The sequence below is a fragment of the Homo sapiens genome, chromosome 15 (assembly GCF_000001405.40).
Source record: "Homo sapiens chromosome 15, GRCh38.p14 Primary Assembly".
Lineage (NCBI taxonomy): Eukaryota > Metazoa > Chordata > Mammalia > Primates > Hominidae > Homo > Homo sapiens.
The window spans coordinates 63,897,809-63,913,961 of NC_000015.10; the positions used below are offsets into that span (position 1 = coordinate 63,897,809).

The 16,153-nt window shown below is 48.6% G+C and overlaps 1 protein-coding gene across 23 annotated transcripts in view; it reads right to left on the reverse strand.

Moving 5' to 3' along the window:
• Window positions 1-9,227: 9,227 nt before the first annotated feature.
• DAPK2 (death associated protein kinase 2) overlaps window positions 9,228-16,153 on the reverse strand; it is a 139,450-nt gene continuing 132,524 nt past the window's right edge. For 8 of the 23 annotated variants that reach the window (NM_001395283.1, NM_001395286.1, NM_001395284.1 and 5 more), the window contains 2 exons: window positions 14,300-14,389; window positions 9,228-14,183 (listed from right to left, as the gene is read on the reverse strand). In NM_001395283.1, the coding sequence (NP_001382212.1) occupies window positions 14,135-14,183; window positions 14,300-14,389 (139 nt within the window). In that variant the 3' untranslated portion in view covers window positions 9,228-14,134. The remainder of the gene's footprint in view (window positions 14,184-14,299; window positions 14,390-16,153) is intronic. The other 15 variants (NR_169523.1, NR_169524.1, NR_169522.1 and 12 more) reach the window with 7 other exon arrangements.

A 16,153-nucleotide genomic window follows, 5' to 3' on the forward strand; every position in this document is an offset into this window, starting at 1 on the left:
ATATAGTCCTCCAGATTCCCAGAGTTAGAAACCGCAGCTTCTCCCATGCGCCCCTCATGTCATGCTTCTTGGTCTCTTTTTTTTTTTGAGATGGAGTTTCACTATTGTTTCCCAGGCTGGAGTGCAATGGTGCCATGTTGGCTCACTGCAACCTCTGCCTCCCGGGTTCAAGCGAGTCACCTGCCTCAGCTTCCCAAGTAGCTGGGATTACAGTGCCCACCAGCATGCCCAGCTAATTTTTGTATTTTTATTAGAAACAGGGTTTCACCATATTGGCCAGGCTGGTCTCGAACTCCCGACCTCAGGTGATCCACCTGCCTCAGCCTCCCAAAGTGATGGGATTACAGGTGTGAGCCACCGCGCCTGGCCCACCATTGATTTTTTTTTTTAAAGACGAATTGAGTACCAACTGCTCTGTTCACAGCTTTCTTTTCCTTTTTGTCTTTCTTTAAGAGACAGGTCTCACTGCAGTGACTATTCACAGATACAATCATAGTTTGCAATGTAGCCTCCAACTCCTGGACCCAAGCAGTCCTCTCGCCTCAGCCTCCCAAGTGGCTGGGACTACAGGTGCACCACTGTCCCCAGCTGACAGCTTTAAGGTGAGTGCAGTGGCTGTGTCAGTCCATGCCTGCCAAAGGAATCAGTGGAGACAAAAAGAAGGAGCAAATTCAAACTTTCCTCCTTTTGCCCTCTCTCCTATGTGGGTTCAGATTCTTCAGGAAGCAGATGCCAAGATGGGATGAGAAGTGCTGGAGACCTGGGGTGTGGGATGAGGAACGCCTATGAAGGATGAAGGGGAAAGGAAGCAGGAGTAGGCAAGGGAGAGCTTTCAGGCCATGATGTAGGTGTGACACCTAAGGAAGGAGGGTGGGAAGGAAGGAGGGCTGGCTAGGAAGTGCCTCTGATGGCAGAGCAACCCAGAGAAGGGCTCAGCCAGGTGATGAGCAGTCCAGGGGCAAATATTAGAAGGGTCCCATGCTGGGCAGGAATGGCCTGGTTCGAGTACCCGCCGCGTGTCTCCCATCCCACCATGCTCAATCACTGGCCAAAAGCAGCCTACGGAGAGTGAAGACCTTGTGGCTACTCTGAGAATGCTCTGAGAATACCTGGGCTGGGATTTTTATTCCCCTTTTAAGGAGAAGGGGTAGAATATACCCCTGCCCCTCCCAGCCCTGCCTCCTCAAACATCGCCTCCTCTTGGAGTTTGAGTAAGGACGTGGGTCTGAGGACAACTTCCAAGGCCAACTGGGCTGAGTTTGCCAGCTCATGCTCCAGGTGCCTTCATGTCTCTTTGGACTTAAACCTACAGGCTAGAACAGTATTTGAAAAGTCAGCTGGCACTTAGCAAACTAATACAACACCCTGAAGGGGTGGCAGCTGGGGGCCAGCAGTGAATAGCACTCTTTGCTGCGGGTTCTCTCTTGAAGGCACTTCCGGGGCTGCCACACTTCTTATCTCCTTCCCTCCTTCCTTCATTCCCTCCTTCATTCCCTCCCACCCCACCTTTCCTCCTCAGATCTTCATACCATCTGCCAGGCACCAGCACACTGTGGAGCCCCATAAATGAACTGACACAGTCCTTCCCTTCAAAGAGCTCCCATCCAGAGCTTCCTCTTGCACCCACAGACGGGAAGCTTGCACGACCTTCCGTCAGGCTGCCCGGCCCTTCCGGACAGATCTTCCAAGCACCTCCACCACCCTCTGTCTTGCCAGCCAGCCCAGAGACAAACACTCAGTGCCTGCTCACAGGGGCAAAGTGTGTAAATAAGTGAAGCAGCCAAAACAATGAAACTCTTTGGCTATTTGAAGTATATTTCTAAGTTTCAATGGCAACATAATTCTTCCCAGCTTTTTCTTCTTTTTTTTTTCTTCTTTTCGAGACAGAGTTTCGCTTTTCTTGCCCAGGCTGGAGTGCAGTGGTGCAATCTCAGCTCCCTGCAACCTCTACCTCCCAAGTTCAAGTGATTCTTCTGCTTCAGCCTCCTGAGTAGCTGGAATGACAGGCGCCCGCCACCATGCCTGGATAATTTTTGTATTTTTAGTAGAGACAGGATTTCACCATGTTGGCCAGGCTGGTCTCGAACTTCTGACCCCAGGTGATCTGTTCACCTCAGCCTCCCAAAATGCTGGGATTACAGGCGTGAGCCACTGTGCCCGGCCTTCCCAGCTTCTTTCTTACCTTAACCCCCCATGCACCTCACTTTTATCCACTACTGTCTTGAAATTAACAAATACTTGTTGGGATGCATCATAAAATAGTATTTCATCTATAAAAACGAGTGAAAAAGGCAGATACACACCAACCACAGCAGAGTTACACTGTGGAGATTTTTTTTTTTTTTTTTTGAGTGGGAGTCTCACTCTGTCACCCAGGCTGGAGTGCAGTGGCATGATCTTGGCTCACTTCAACCCCCACCTCCCGGGTTCAAGCAATTCTCCTTCCTCAGCCTCCTGAGTAGCTGGGCTTACAGGCACACGCCACCACGCGTAAGAGGTGAACTACAACGTCTCTATGAAGGAAAAGTCAGGCCCTGGACTCCACAGACAATCAACTCCTGAGTAAGAAAAGAGGCAGGGTGTCCAGTGCCCAAGGGTGCCTGGAATATAAAGCCTACAAAGATGCTTGTCTCTGCCCTGCTGGTGGTTTGGCACACCTGACCTCATAAACCAAAGATAGTCTGTGCCAGGCTGGGCCCATAGCTCCATCTCCCAGGGGTATTCAGAAGCTGGATGTAAAACAGGAAGGCAAAGTACTTACTTTTTTTTAAATGAAGAATTAGATTCACATCAGTGTATGGGCTGAATTAGGTCCCCACCAAATTCACATGTGGAAGCCCTAACCCTCAGTACCTCTGAATTGTGACTGTATTTATAGAGACAGCCTTCAAAGAGGTGATTAAGTTAAAATGAGGCTGTAAGGGCCCTAATCCAATCTGACAAGGGTCCTTCTAAGAAGAGGAAATATGGACACACAGGGGCACCAGGGACGCACATCCACTGAGGGACCACCGTGTGAAGAGGCAGCAAGGAGGCGGCTGTCTGCCAGCCAAGGAGAGAGGCCTCAGGAGAAACTGATCTTGCTGACACCTTGGTCTTGGACTTCTAGTCTCCACAACTGTGAGAAAATTAACTTCTGTTGTTTAAGCCACCCAGTCTGTGATATTTGGTTATGGCATCCTTAACAAACTAATACAACACTCAAAATAAGAAAACGGGGTAGGGGCAAATAGTCAAGTCCCGCACTTAGTTCTTTAAAGAGTTGTTACAGGCTTTGTCTTTTCATTCAGAACCTGTGTTGGGTGCTGAATGAAAAGACAAAGAGCAGGCCGGGTGCAGTGGCTCACGCCTGCAATCCCAGAACTTTAGGAGGTCGAGGCGGGCAGATCACGAGGTCAGGAGATCGAGGCCATCCTGGTTAACATGGTGAAACCGCATATCTAATAAAAATACAAAAAATTAGCCAGGTGTAGTAGCAGGCACCTGTAGTCCCAGCTACTCGGGAGGCTGAGGCAGGAGAATGGCGTGAACCTGGGAGGAGAAGCTTGCAGTGAGCCGAGATCACGACATTGCACTCCAGCCTGGGTGCGAGACTCAGTCTCAAAAAAAAAAAAAAGAGTTGTTACACGCTTTGTCTTTTCATTCAGAACCTGTGTTAGGGTGCTAAATGAAAAGACAAAGGAGCAGTATACTGTCCTCTCAGCTCCCTGACTCCCAGCAGGCCCTCTCGGAGGGGTGGGAGGAAGACAGCCAGCTGAGAGGCCCCTCGCTGAGAGCCTCCAGCATCAACGTGATGCTTTCTCCTGTGTTTAAACCACTGCTGAGAGTCGGAGAGGTAAGAGGTGCACTGATCTCCAGGAGCCCTCCATCCAGAGTCTAGGTAAGCAGTGTTGAGTCTCACTATTGGCCATGGTTGACTAACATCTACATTTCTCAGAGTTGCTCTTATTGGGGTGCTATGCTGACTGCTTTGAACAAAGGAGACTGAAAGGCCCCAGAGGAAAACTAAGGTCTCTCTCTGACCTTCTCCTTCCCACCCCTCTTTTTCCTCCCTAGGGCAGGGAGGAGCTCCCTCTGAAGTTCCCACCTCTTGACTGAGGAATGGTCTTCCAAAAGGAATGGAATTGTCTTGAACCCCTTCCCTAGGAATCTCATCAAACCACCAGGGAATATTAATAACCACAAGGAGATTAAAAGTCATCACCACCCCCAGACAGGCTATTGCCTATTCTGGAGGGAGTTCCAAAACAACTTTGATTACCTGAGGGACTTGTATTTGCATAAGACACCATTCTCTGTGCAGTTCTTCCCCTTTCCTTCCCGTAACTTATCACCACCTCCCCCCAAAGCCTCAAGGCTCTATTCCTTTATGCTGTAAAAACTTCAACCATTGGGTCCCTCTCTGGAGCCTCATTCTTCTATGAGGCTCCTGTGTACAGCCACAAAATTAAAATGGTTTTTCTCCTGTCAATCTGTCTATTGTCAATTTATTTCAGAAGCGACTGTTATGGAATCTTCAGAGGAAGTTGGAGCTTCCTTACACTCTATGCCTATGGTCCCAGAGTGTAACTAAATTGTGTAAAAACAAATTCCTTATGCTTGCCAAGTCCTTCAAAGTTGACAAAGCTCGTTTACAAAATTGGTTTCAACAAGGCACTCATGACAAGTAACACTGATATCACCATTTCACAGATTAGAAAACTGAGGCCCAGAAAGGTTGAATGACAAGGCTAAGTTCCAACAGCTGCAAAGTGGCAGGACTTAGCCCAGGCTTTTTGGATCTGATTGGTAAAATATAATAAAGACTGTTAAGAACTGGAAAAGGGAATTGAGAGATGATATAGGATCTCCCTGGCTCAATTCCAAAATGAGACGAAGAAACCCAAGTGCAATCCCATCTAGGAGCAGGATAATGGCCCAGCTGACTTTTCAAATGCTGTTCTGGCCTCTGGGTTTAAATCCAAAGAGACATGAAGGCACCAGAGCATGAGCTGGCAAACTCAGCTTCGTCGGCCTTGGAAGTTGTCCTCAGACCCAAGTCCTTACGCAAACTCCCAGGGGAAGTGATGTTTGAGGAGGCAGGGCTGGGAGGTGCAGAGGGTATTTCCTATCCCTTCTCTTTAAAAGGGGAATAAAGGCTGGGCTCCGTGGCTCACACCTGTGGTCCCAGCACCTTGGGAGGCCAAGGCGGGCAGAACACGAGGTCAAGAGATCGAGACCATCCTGGCCAACATGGTGAAACCCCGTCTCTACTAGAAATACAAAAATTAGCTGGGCGTGGCGGCACACGCCTGTAGTCCCAGCTACTAGGGAGGCTGAGGCAGGGGAATCACTTGAACCCAAGAGGCGGAGGTTGCAGTGAGCCGAGATTGCCCCATTGCACACCAGCCTGGGCAACAGAGCGAGACTCCATCTAAAAAATATATATATATAATAAATTTAAAAATAAATAAATAAATAAAAGGGAAATAAAAATTCCAGCCAGGTATTCTCACATTGAGTGGTGTGATGACCTCTGATCTAGGTGCTGGTAGAAGAACACAAAAAAAGCCCACCATCGAGTCGTGTGAGAAAAACACTGCAGGGAGGGGCACTACGTCCTGTCCCTAATAGAGGCTGCTGCGGCAAATGGTGACCATTAGGATGGACTTTTTTCACCTCATTTCTCCCTTTATCTTTAACATAATATTTGATACATGCAAAAGCATAGACAACTAATATGTAAGTTAGAAAGCATTATAATAAATAGAACTTGCAGGAGCCCACCGTGAACTTAGTGTTGGCTGGAACACTGCCAACAGCCCAGTGCCCACCTTGTCCTCCTCCCCATCTCAGCCACCCAGATGTAAGTTTCATCCAGAATTTTGAGAGTGGTCATTCCCTTGCTTTTAAAATTCAATTTTAGGCCAGGTGCAGTGGCTCACACCTGTAATCCCAACACTTTGGGAGGCCGAGGCAGACGGATCACCTGAGGTCAGGACTTCGAGCCCAGCCTGGCTAACATGCTGAAACATAGGGCTCTACTAAAAATACACAATCAGCTGGACATGGTGGCATGCACCTGTAATCCCTACTCGGGAGTTTGAGGCAGGAGAATCACTTGAACCCGGGAGGCAGAGGTTGCAGTGAGCTGAGATCACGCCATTGCACTTCAGCCTGGGCAACAAGAGTGAAACTGTGTCTCAAAAATTAATTAATTAATTAATTAAATTTTATCACATTCACATGTATCCCTAAACAACTTATGGCATAGTTTGTGAGCTTTAAAAAAAAGAGTATAATAGTGTACATAGTTCTCCGGGATTACTTTTTCATTGAACACCGTACTTCTCCAGGAAAAGTAGAGAAGAATGTGGATTTGAGGGTAGGCAAAACTGGGCTGGAATCCCGATTCTAAGTACTCCAGCTGTGTGACTGCATGCAAATTTCCTAACTCCGCTGAATCTCAGCTGTATCATATAAATGGGGCTCTCATTTCCCTTACAAGATTAGGAAGAGGACTAAATGAAATGTATGCAAAATGTTCCTATTGCAGAGCAGATTTTAAACAATTATTATGAGCTTCATTTTCTTTTCTTTCACTCTTCCTCTAGCTTAGGGGTGGAGGATCACTGACCCATAGAGGAAAAAATACTTTAAAAAAATTTCTCCCTAGATAATATAATCAACTGCTTTTTAGATTAAGAACTGGGAACATGAATTTCATTCAGTAAGTAAATAAATGACTAAAATATATACTTCAGCTATATATTATGAATTGCTAATGGACGAAGGGGGAGAGAAGAAGAACCAGTGGGAGAGGGAAAAACCGGAGGAGAGAAACTGTTAAGGGGAACTCACCAATGGTGTGTCTGCTTTTTGAAATGTCAATTAACCATTGTTCACAGATCTTCAGCTGCTCAATCCCTAAGCCTATTAATGTTTGCTTAGAATGGGATCCTCTCAGCAGATCACCAAGGAAGACATTTTCCTTTGGGGTGCAGCTACAGTGAACAGAACAATATCAGGATGAAATCAAGTTGGGGACTCTATGGAAGGAAAGTTCTCCAATCCTGTGCCAGATAGAATTCCCTGTGAGAAACAAGTCCTCAAGTTAGCTCTTTCACGTGTACTTACTTTGATTGTCTGTGGAGTCCAGGGCCTGACTTTTCCTTCATAGAGATGTTGTAGTTCACCTCTTACAGTATGGCCTTCATTTGCTTCCAAAATAAGGTTTTCACAAATAAATATGCGAAGGGAAAAGGCAAATGCAATCTAAGATTTGGAGTCAGGAAAGCTAGTGAGATTGACATCGAAATGCAACACACTAAAATATTTATATGGATATTTGTGAAATATTAATGCAGCATCCAACACTCACATAAGCACACACTCTGGGGCAGGAACCCTCCAGACCTCTTGAAAGAATTGCATTTGAACCGGCATGGCTTTCATCACTGGAATGTTCCATTTGCCTCTGAGAATGCTGTGGTCTCTTTCAGCCCTGTAAGTGTCAGCTGGTCAACACATCCTTCTTCAGAGCCAACAGAACACACGTGGCGCCCTGGGCCAGCTGCTGCGCTCATCCTCACACCTGGGGGCCGCAGTCGTCTGCTAGCAGAGGCCACAGGGACTGGGCCCCTGTCTGGGAGGCGCATGGGTGCCTGGCTTCTGGCTGCTGGTCCTCAAAGTCATCCTCAAAGGATTGTGCATCCTCAAAGGCCCCCCTCTGCCCACTGCCTGGCCCTGTGCTTCCCAAGGGCTTCTAGGAAACACAGCAGGTGCCATCCAACACCAGAAAGCTGGGCTAAGAAGACTCAGTCAGCAGTGCTTTATATAACCTGGATGAGAAGAGGGCCAGGAGGAGATATGGGCATGATGGAGTCCTGGTTTCCCAGGGCTTAGAGAACGTGGACCCCTTTAGGACAGGGTCTGTGTCTGTCCTGCTCTGTTCCAACCCAGCATCTAGAACAGTGCCAAGCATACAGCAGGAGCCCGATTAATACTGGTTCCCTGACTGCCTTGCAGCCTGTGGGGGTGGGCTGCTGAGATGCCCCCATCCAGGGGCAGTGTCCTTTACTGTGAAAGATGGGCAGAAGCAAGTGTGTCAATTTCTTCCATTTCCAAGAATGAAGGATGAGGCAGGCCACAGTCAAGAATAGATGAGACTCGTTAACAATGAGGCAAAGCGAACGGTTCATCCTTTCCTGAAAGGTCCACTGCAGTTTATCAGCTGAAGAAATGAGCACCGTTACTAGGGGCCAGAAAGTCTGGGCTTTCATTAGATATTTTCACAAATTTGTTGTGTGAAGCACTAGTCACTTCCTCTCTCTAGGCATCGGTTTCCTCTTCAGTGAAACATAGTGGTTGGGCTAGACAAGTTGTAAAAGGCTCTCTGATCAAGACTGGGTTTGTCAAAGGTCTTTCCTGCTCTTCTTCCTAGCAGGAGGGCAGCCCCACCTTTACCGTAACTGACTTCCTAGGAGCTCCCAGTGAGCCCTGTTCCAGAACATGCCTGCTGATTTATGTAACCAACCATAGCCAAGAGCCCCTCGCAGGCCCAGGGCCCTTGCCCACAGTTGGCAGTTCTCGGCCTCTGCTATCCTCCCAGGGTGGAGGGAGGCACAGGACTGTTTCTGCCTGAGATCTGGGGAAGCTCAAGAAGTCCAGGTCAGCTGCTAAGCTTTCTGCAGCCAGCTTGTGGGCTCACTCCATTTCTGGCTCGACACTTTTCTGAAACTGGGTCGCCTTGCTGTTCCTGTGGGGTCATTTTGCTCTGGACCCATCAACTGGCTGCTGACGAAGGGAACTGGGACCTCTTTCCCCAGCACCCTTTCCTTTTAATAATAGTTTTCCCCCCTCTCTCCTTCCTGGCTCACTTCCTCAGCTCAGTTTCCTCACCTTCCAAAACTTCTCTTTCAGCCTCTTCCCATGTGCTTTCCCAATCTCCCGGCCTCGCCCTGACTTTATTTCTGACTTCCATGGGTCGTCTCTTGAGTGCTGCTCAGCAACACTGTTCTTTTGGCCTGAAAAACAGGGCCCACATTTCGATGCCATTGAGTGAGCTTCCCTTGCCATTTCCACCGAAGGGGCCAGGTCATCCGTCTTTTTCCTCTCCCTTCTCGCCGTGGATCCTTCTTCGCCCTTCTCCGCCCACATCGTTAGGAATTCTCCTGCCCCCATCTTGGCTGTAGTTGGCAAGTGTGTATTTTGCTAGGGCCGCCATAAAAAAAGTACCACAGACTGGGTGGCTTAAAAGACAGAAGTTTATTTTCTTACAATTTTTGAGGCCAGAGTCTAAGATTGAGGTGTCAGCAGGGTTGGTTTCCTCTGAGGCCCCCTTAGTTTGTCGATGGCTATTCCCCCTCCCACTCCTGGGCCTTCATGTGGTCTTTCCTGCGTGTCCTAACCTCCCCTTCTTATAAGGACACCAATTATATTGCATCGGGGCCCATATCAGTGAGCTCATTTTAATTTAAGTGCCTTTCTAAAGACCCCATCTCCAAATACAGTGATATTCTGTGGTACCAAGGGTTAAGACTTCAACATAGAAATTTTAGGGAGACACACTCAGCTCCTAACAGCAGGAGTGGTGGCAGTGAGGTAGAGGGAGCATGGGCATACTCGTCTCTGGCAACTTTTTTTTTTTTTGGATATGGTCTCTCTCTGTCACCCAGACTGGAGTGCAGTGGCGTGATCTCAGCTCACTGCAGCCTCGACCTTCTGGGCTTAAGCAATGCTGTCACCTCAGCCCCTGGAGTAGCTGGGATGCCAGGTGCCTACCCCTACACCTGGCTAATTTTTTGTATTTTTTGTACAGACTGCGTTTTGCCATGTTGCCCAGGCTGGTCTCCAACTCCTGAGTTCAAGCAATTCCCCTGCCTCGGACTGCCAAAGCGCAGGGATTATAGGCGTGAGCCACCACTCCCAGTCTCTGGGTGGGTTCTCTTGAACTGGACACCTTCCTGTTAGGGAAGCAAGGAGGAGGCAGGCCCACTGCAGGCCTGCGCGGACGGTTCAGGAGGACCTTCTGAGATTCTGCCCACTCAGCACCCCACTGGGTGCCCCCCCTCAGAGTTACAGGCACACGGGCTAAAGGAAATGAGATGGGGGTAGCCCTAAAAGAAGCCAAGCATCAGGTAAACCAGAAGTTTAATAAAAATGAGCAAAATTACAACATGGCGGGCCAGCAATGGGCTGCTTCAGAAGGTCTGAGGTGTTGGTCAGCCTGACGTCCTGGCTTCCATGGTTCTGGGAGGTCACAGGATTGGTCCCTCACACCCAAGGTTCACTTTCCTCAATCACCCTGTTCCCAATGGGGAGGACTCTGTCTCTCTGGTGTAATTTTTGGCCAGGCTGGTTCTGAACCCCCTCAGCCTGTGAAGAAGGCTGCCTTAGTCTGACCTTCACCCCGTGATGATGAGGATGTCCTTTATATTGTTTTCCTAAGTCCACACTCCCACCCCAGACTCTGAGGATGGCAGACAGAGGAAAGCCCATTTTATGGAGAATTAAGAGCTTTGGGAATGCTGGAGCCTCCTCCACAGAAGACAGCCACAGCTCCCAGGGTCTCCTGGCTTGCCTGCAAGCTCTTCTGAATTCCTTGGGCCCATCTCTCTTGCAAAGTGCTCAGGACGCCCGGGTGCTGGTGCTGAGCTGGGTCCAAAAGTCTGCACAGAAGGGAGCCCCGCTGGGCCCAGACCTCCCTGGCGGCCACTGCAGGTCAGGCCAGTTAGGAGGTGCTGCTCCTCCTCCGTGGGTGGAGGGCTTTCCTCCTGGCGATGTCCTCCTCAGTGTCACTCTCACAGTTCCTCTGGAGAAAAAAAAGAGAAAGAGGTCCAGGGCAGGAGGATCATGAGACGCCAGGAATGGGGCTGTGCTGGGCAACCTGGGTTGATTCACCTGGACCACGGGACTACAAGCCAGGGAGGTGGGTGGTGAAAGCAAGCCTGCTGATCCATCCAGGGGCTGGGGGATGGGAGGGATCTGAAACGAGGCCAGACCAACTGCTTGGAGGAAGGAAAGCAGCAGGGCATCTAAGGGAAACCAGACATCAGGAGAGGCCAAATTATAATAAAGAAAATTACATCTAGTTCCCTTTGTGGCTGCCATATAATCAAGGCCACTTGGCTGGGTGGTCTGTGGCTGCTGGGTCTCCTGAGCTCAGCCTAGAGAGACTGGAGGATGGGTGTGAGCCACAAGGTACTCCCCATGCTTGACAGCCACCATCCCATGCCCCTTCTTCTTTGATGGGCTGCACCTTCAGCCGCCTTGCTGACCAGTGTTTCCAGGGAAATGACTTCTGAGCTCCATTTTTATAAAACAGGAAATGAGTATAAAGTACTGTCTGTCAGTTCCTACATGGCAAACCAGAGCTGAGGCAGCCACCCCGAGGCCATAATGTCTTTTCATCCAAGTCATGATGATCTAATGTAATTATAAAATTATTAAAAGAAGTACTAATCCACAGTGACTTCATTCCTAAAATATCTGTTGTCCAATGTTCAATTCCAGTGCTTCCTAAACAAAAGGACCTATCATTACTCTTTTTTTTTTTTTTTTTAAGGAAAGTCCCTTTGGGAAAACTGCATAACAGATATCTGGGACCCAACATTTTTCCACTTCTAGGATGAACCTTTGAGCTGATGGTGCTTGCTATTTGAGTAAAAAGAGTACTATTTAAGAATATTTGTACAAGAACAAAAGTTTGGAAAGAAACTGACATTCTTTTTGGCTGGGCGTGGTGGCTCATGCCTGTAATCCCAGCACTTTGGGAGGCCGAGGCGGGTGGATCACCTGAGGTCAGGGATTCGAGACCAGCCCAGCCAACATGGCAAAATCCCATCACCACTAAAAATACATAAATTAGCCAGGCATGGTGGTGCAAGCCTGTAATCCCAGCTAGTCAGGAGGCTAAGGCAGGAGAATCTCTTGAACCCGGGAGGCAGAGGTTGCAGCGAGCTGAGATGGTGCCACTGCACTGCAGCCTGGGAGACACAGTGAGACTCTGTCTCAAAAAAAAAAAAAATTGACATTCTTCTCAATTACTCTGGTCTTCTCTCCCCACAGATTGTATCTGTCAGGGAAGAAGGGCCAGCGGCTCAGCCTGCGAGGCATGCCCACCATCTGCCACTCATCCTCCCAGGGCCTTTTCCCCTTCCTCCAGCCTGAGCCAGCTGGAAATCCAAGGTCAAGATCAACTTTAGCCAAATACATCCTAGACCAAGCCCGGCTATAACAATAAAAATAACTCAAGCTCTGCTGAATAGCAACTTTTTAGCTTGAGTCAGAGCCAAACAGTAAAAAAATAAGCTGGGTAAAGTCTGCTTGTCATTATCAGGGATTCTCAGCGGGAGAGCGGTCCAGTGCCCTGCATAGGAGACGAGGAAAGCAGCCAGAGCCGGCACAGGGCTTGGCCAAAGCCACACAGTTGTTTGGGGCCTCTGGGCCATAAATCCTCAAGTGCTGGCAAGAGATCATGCTAAAGAGAGAAGACCCCAGGCTGTGTGGAGGGAGTGGGGACAGCAGGGCTATCCTAGGTCTAGCCGTGCATCATAAGGCTGCTCAGCCCTCTTAGGCACCCACCTCCCAGTCGCTCCCTGAGCAGGGCGTCCCCTTCTGTCCTGACCTGTGCCATCCCAGACATTCCTGAGCACCCTACACCACGCTCCATAAGCGGGGGGAGGGGCTGTCCAGGGAACCCCTACCAACTGCATTTTAAAGTCTACAGGAGGATTTTACTTTTTTAATTTTGAAACTTAATTTTCTTTAGAGTTAGGGTCATGCTCTGTCGCCCAGGCTGCAATGCAGTAGTGTGATCATAATTCACTGTAACCTTTAACTCCTGGGCTCAAGTGATCCTCCCACCTCAGCTCCCTGAGTAGCTAGGACTATAGGTGCCTGTCACCATACCTGGCTAATTTTTTTGTTTGTTTGTTTGTTTTTGTTTTGTAGAGTCAGGGTCTCACTGTTGTTGCCTGGGCTGGTCTTTAACTCCTGGCCTTAAATGAACCTCCCGCCTCAGCCACCCAAAGTGCTGGGACTATAGGCACGAACCACTACTGCCAGCCTACAGGAAGGTTTTAAACAACAACAATTGCTAACGCTTACTGAGCACTTACATGCCAGGCTTTAAGAATATGTCATTATTGGCCTGGCATGGTGGCTTATGCCTGTAATCCCAGCATTTTGGGAGGCCGAGGCGGGCAGATCACCTGAAGTCGGGAGTTCGAGACCAGCCTGACCAACATGGAGAAACCCCATCTCTACTAAAAATACAAAATTAGCTGGGTGTGGTGGCGCATGACTGTAATCCCAGCTACTCAGGAGGCTGACGCAGGAGAATCGCTTGAAGCCAGGAGGCAGAGGTTGCGGTGAGCCGAGATCGCGCCATTGCACTCCAACCTAAGCAATAAGAGTGAAACTCTGTCTAAACAAACAAAAAAAAAAAAAAAAAGAAGAAGAAGAAGAGGAAGAATATGTCATTATTTAATCTTTAGGAACTATTATTAACCCTATTTTACAAATGATGAACTATCAGCACAGAGAGGTTAAGTAATTTCCTCAAGGTCACACGGTAAGTGGCAGATTTGAATCCTGGTAGTCTGACTGCAGAGGGCACCCTCTTCACCAGTATATTCTGTTATAAGCTACTCCCTTTAAATGTATACAAAATGGCAATAAAGTAATCAAATATAAGATATTGTCTAAATATTATGATGATGGTAATCTGAAACAAAGCAGAAATAGAAATATGGAAAAAAGAATGTAAAGCTCCCATTCTAAAGCAGCTTTTGGGTTATCAGAAATACATTTTGGGTTGTCTGTGGTCAGCCGGCAGCAGCGGCCCCTCTGAAGGCCCACCAGGAAAGGATGGGAGATCCTCCAGGAGTTCATGCTGCTGCATCAGTGGTCCCCTCCCGGCACCACCCAGAGGTCCCCAGAACACACTCCTCTGAAGATCACACTTCAGCCTTCAGGGAAGAGGAGGACTGGGCCAGCAGAACTGGCTGGAAACAGTGAACACCCACCTGCCTTGTGAGGGGAAAGGGAACTCACCCATCCCTGAGCTCCAGGCTACCCCAGAATTCTGCCCAAGAAGAGGGCATGCATTTACCCACCAGGTCCTCATCCGGCCTCAGGTGCACCTTCTTCATCAGCGAGCGGGTGAGGTGGTTGCACAGGGACACGATGCTGAAGGAAAGCTGAGGGAGGCAGAGGAAAGGAATCCCCAGGTGAGAATGTGCATGGAGACCCTGGAGAGCCAGAAACCCCGCCCTAGCCCCCACCCTGTCCCCCGCCGCCCCAACCCTGGACACACCTTCCACCGCCTGCGGACATACTGCTTCCTGAAGTTCTCCAGATTGACCACAGACTCCCTGCGCACCATGGCTTGCTGGTTGTCCACCGGCTGAGAGACAAAGCAGAGCATGGCAGCTGATGCTGGGCTTCAGACAGCAGCCACCCTCCTCGCCGCAGAACTCCCCACCCACCGCATGCCCACCGCCCTTGGCTTGACCCTGGCATCTCCCCGCCAGGTGGGGCACACCGTGGGAGCATCACAGTCAGGGCAACAGCTACACATGTCTCAGCTGTTCAGGAGTTGCCTCTCAGCTATTATTACCACAGCCTGACACACACACAGCCTTGGCTGGAGGCTCAGCAGCTCCTGAAGGGGAATAGCAGGAGGCAGGCCCTCCAATCGCACATCACTTTGGGGAGAGGGTCATTTTACAGCAGTCTGGGATGCCCTCTGGGCACTGGGGTGATTCTGGGCTTGGCAAAACAAATGCCTTGTTGGTAGACGGGGAATTCATACTCCATTAAAAAATAAATGGAAGGAAATAAGGGCTTTGATGAAAGTCAAGAGGCAACAGGATGTGCAGTTGCTTTTCACAGCCTGGCAGTCAGAGCTCAGCTTAAATTTTGACTTCTCCAAGAAGCTTGGGATGGCTTCTCTGAGCCTCAGTTTCCCCATCTGTAATATGGGGATAATAATATCATGTCACAGGGTTGTTAAGGATTATATGATCATGCATATATAAAGTGCTTAGCCCAGCACCACTCAATAAATAGTAATAAGTTATTGTGAGCTTTCCTGCGTTCTCCATTCCCTTTTCAACACCCCCCTTTTGTAAAATAAGGTTTTGTGAAATCAAGAGATAGGTTTCAGGGGTTCTGTGAACAAAATGTGCCTATATATCCATACAAAGGAATATTAGTCAGAAATACTATTCATAAAAAATTGAGTCCAATACATTTTACAACACGGATGAACCTTAAAAACATTATGTTAAATGAAAAAAGCCAGACACAAAAGGCTACCTGCTGTATGATTCAATTTATATAAAATGTCCAGAACAGACATATCCGTAGAAACAAAGCAGATGGGTAGCTGCCAGGGGCTAGGGAAAGGGGAAAACAGGGAATGGCTACTAAAGGGTATGACATTTCTTCCTGGGGTAATGTAAATGTTCTGGAATTAGATAGTGATGTGGTTACACAACCTTGTGAGTATACTAAAAACCACTGAACTGTACATTTTAAAATGGTGAATTTTATGATATATAAATTATAACTCAATTTTTAAAATTTAGTATGTATGTACAGACATGCATTTCTTTGGAGGAGAGTCAATAGCTTTTATCGATTCTCAAAGGCCCCCATGACCTCAAGAAAATGAACTGCCTAGAATGATTCCAAAGGTCCCGGGCAGCTCTGGTTTTCTCTCTGCTCTGACAGCCTTCCTGCCGCAATGCCTCATTCACCTGGTGAATGCTAAGCGAGGGAGCCTATTGATTCCCAGGCGTGGGTCTTGTCTCCTAACCATGCTCGGAGCACACCTCCACGCTTGATTTTTCATCATGGCATCAGGGACCGGAAGAAAGCCAGTGCACACTGCTGGCCACGCTGCTCTGGAGCTGGCAGCCTCTGGCAGGAGGTCCATCCCATGGCAGCCCCTGCTGCCCATCCCCCTGGAAGGCCTTCAAGTATTTCAAAGCCCAATTCAGACATGATCTCCTCCAAGACAAATTCCAGAAAATCATGTCTCCCTCCCTGACATGAACAAGGCACATGTATGCTCCTTTATGAAGTCCAGCACCTCTCAGAACCAGCCTTGCAGAGGAATCACCCCACTCCTGGAAAATGACTGGAGGGCACAGACTTTCTTCCT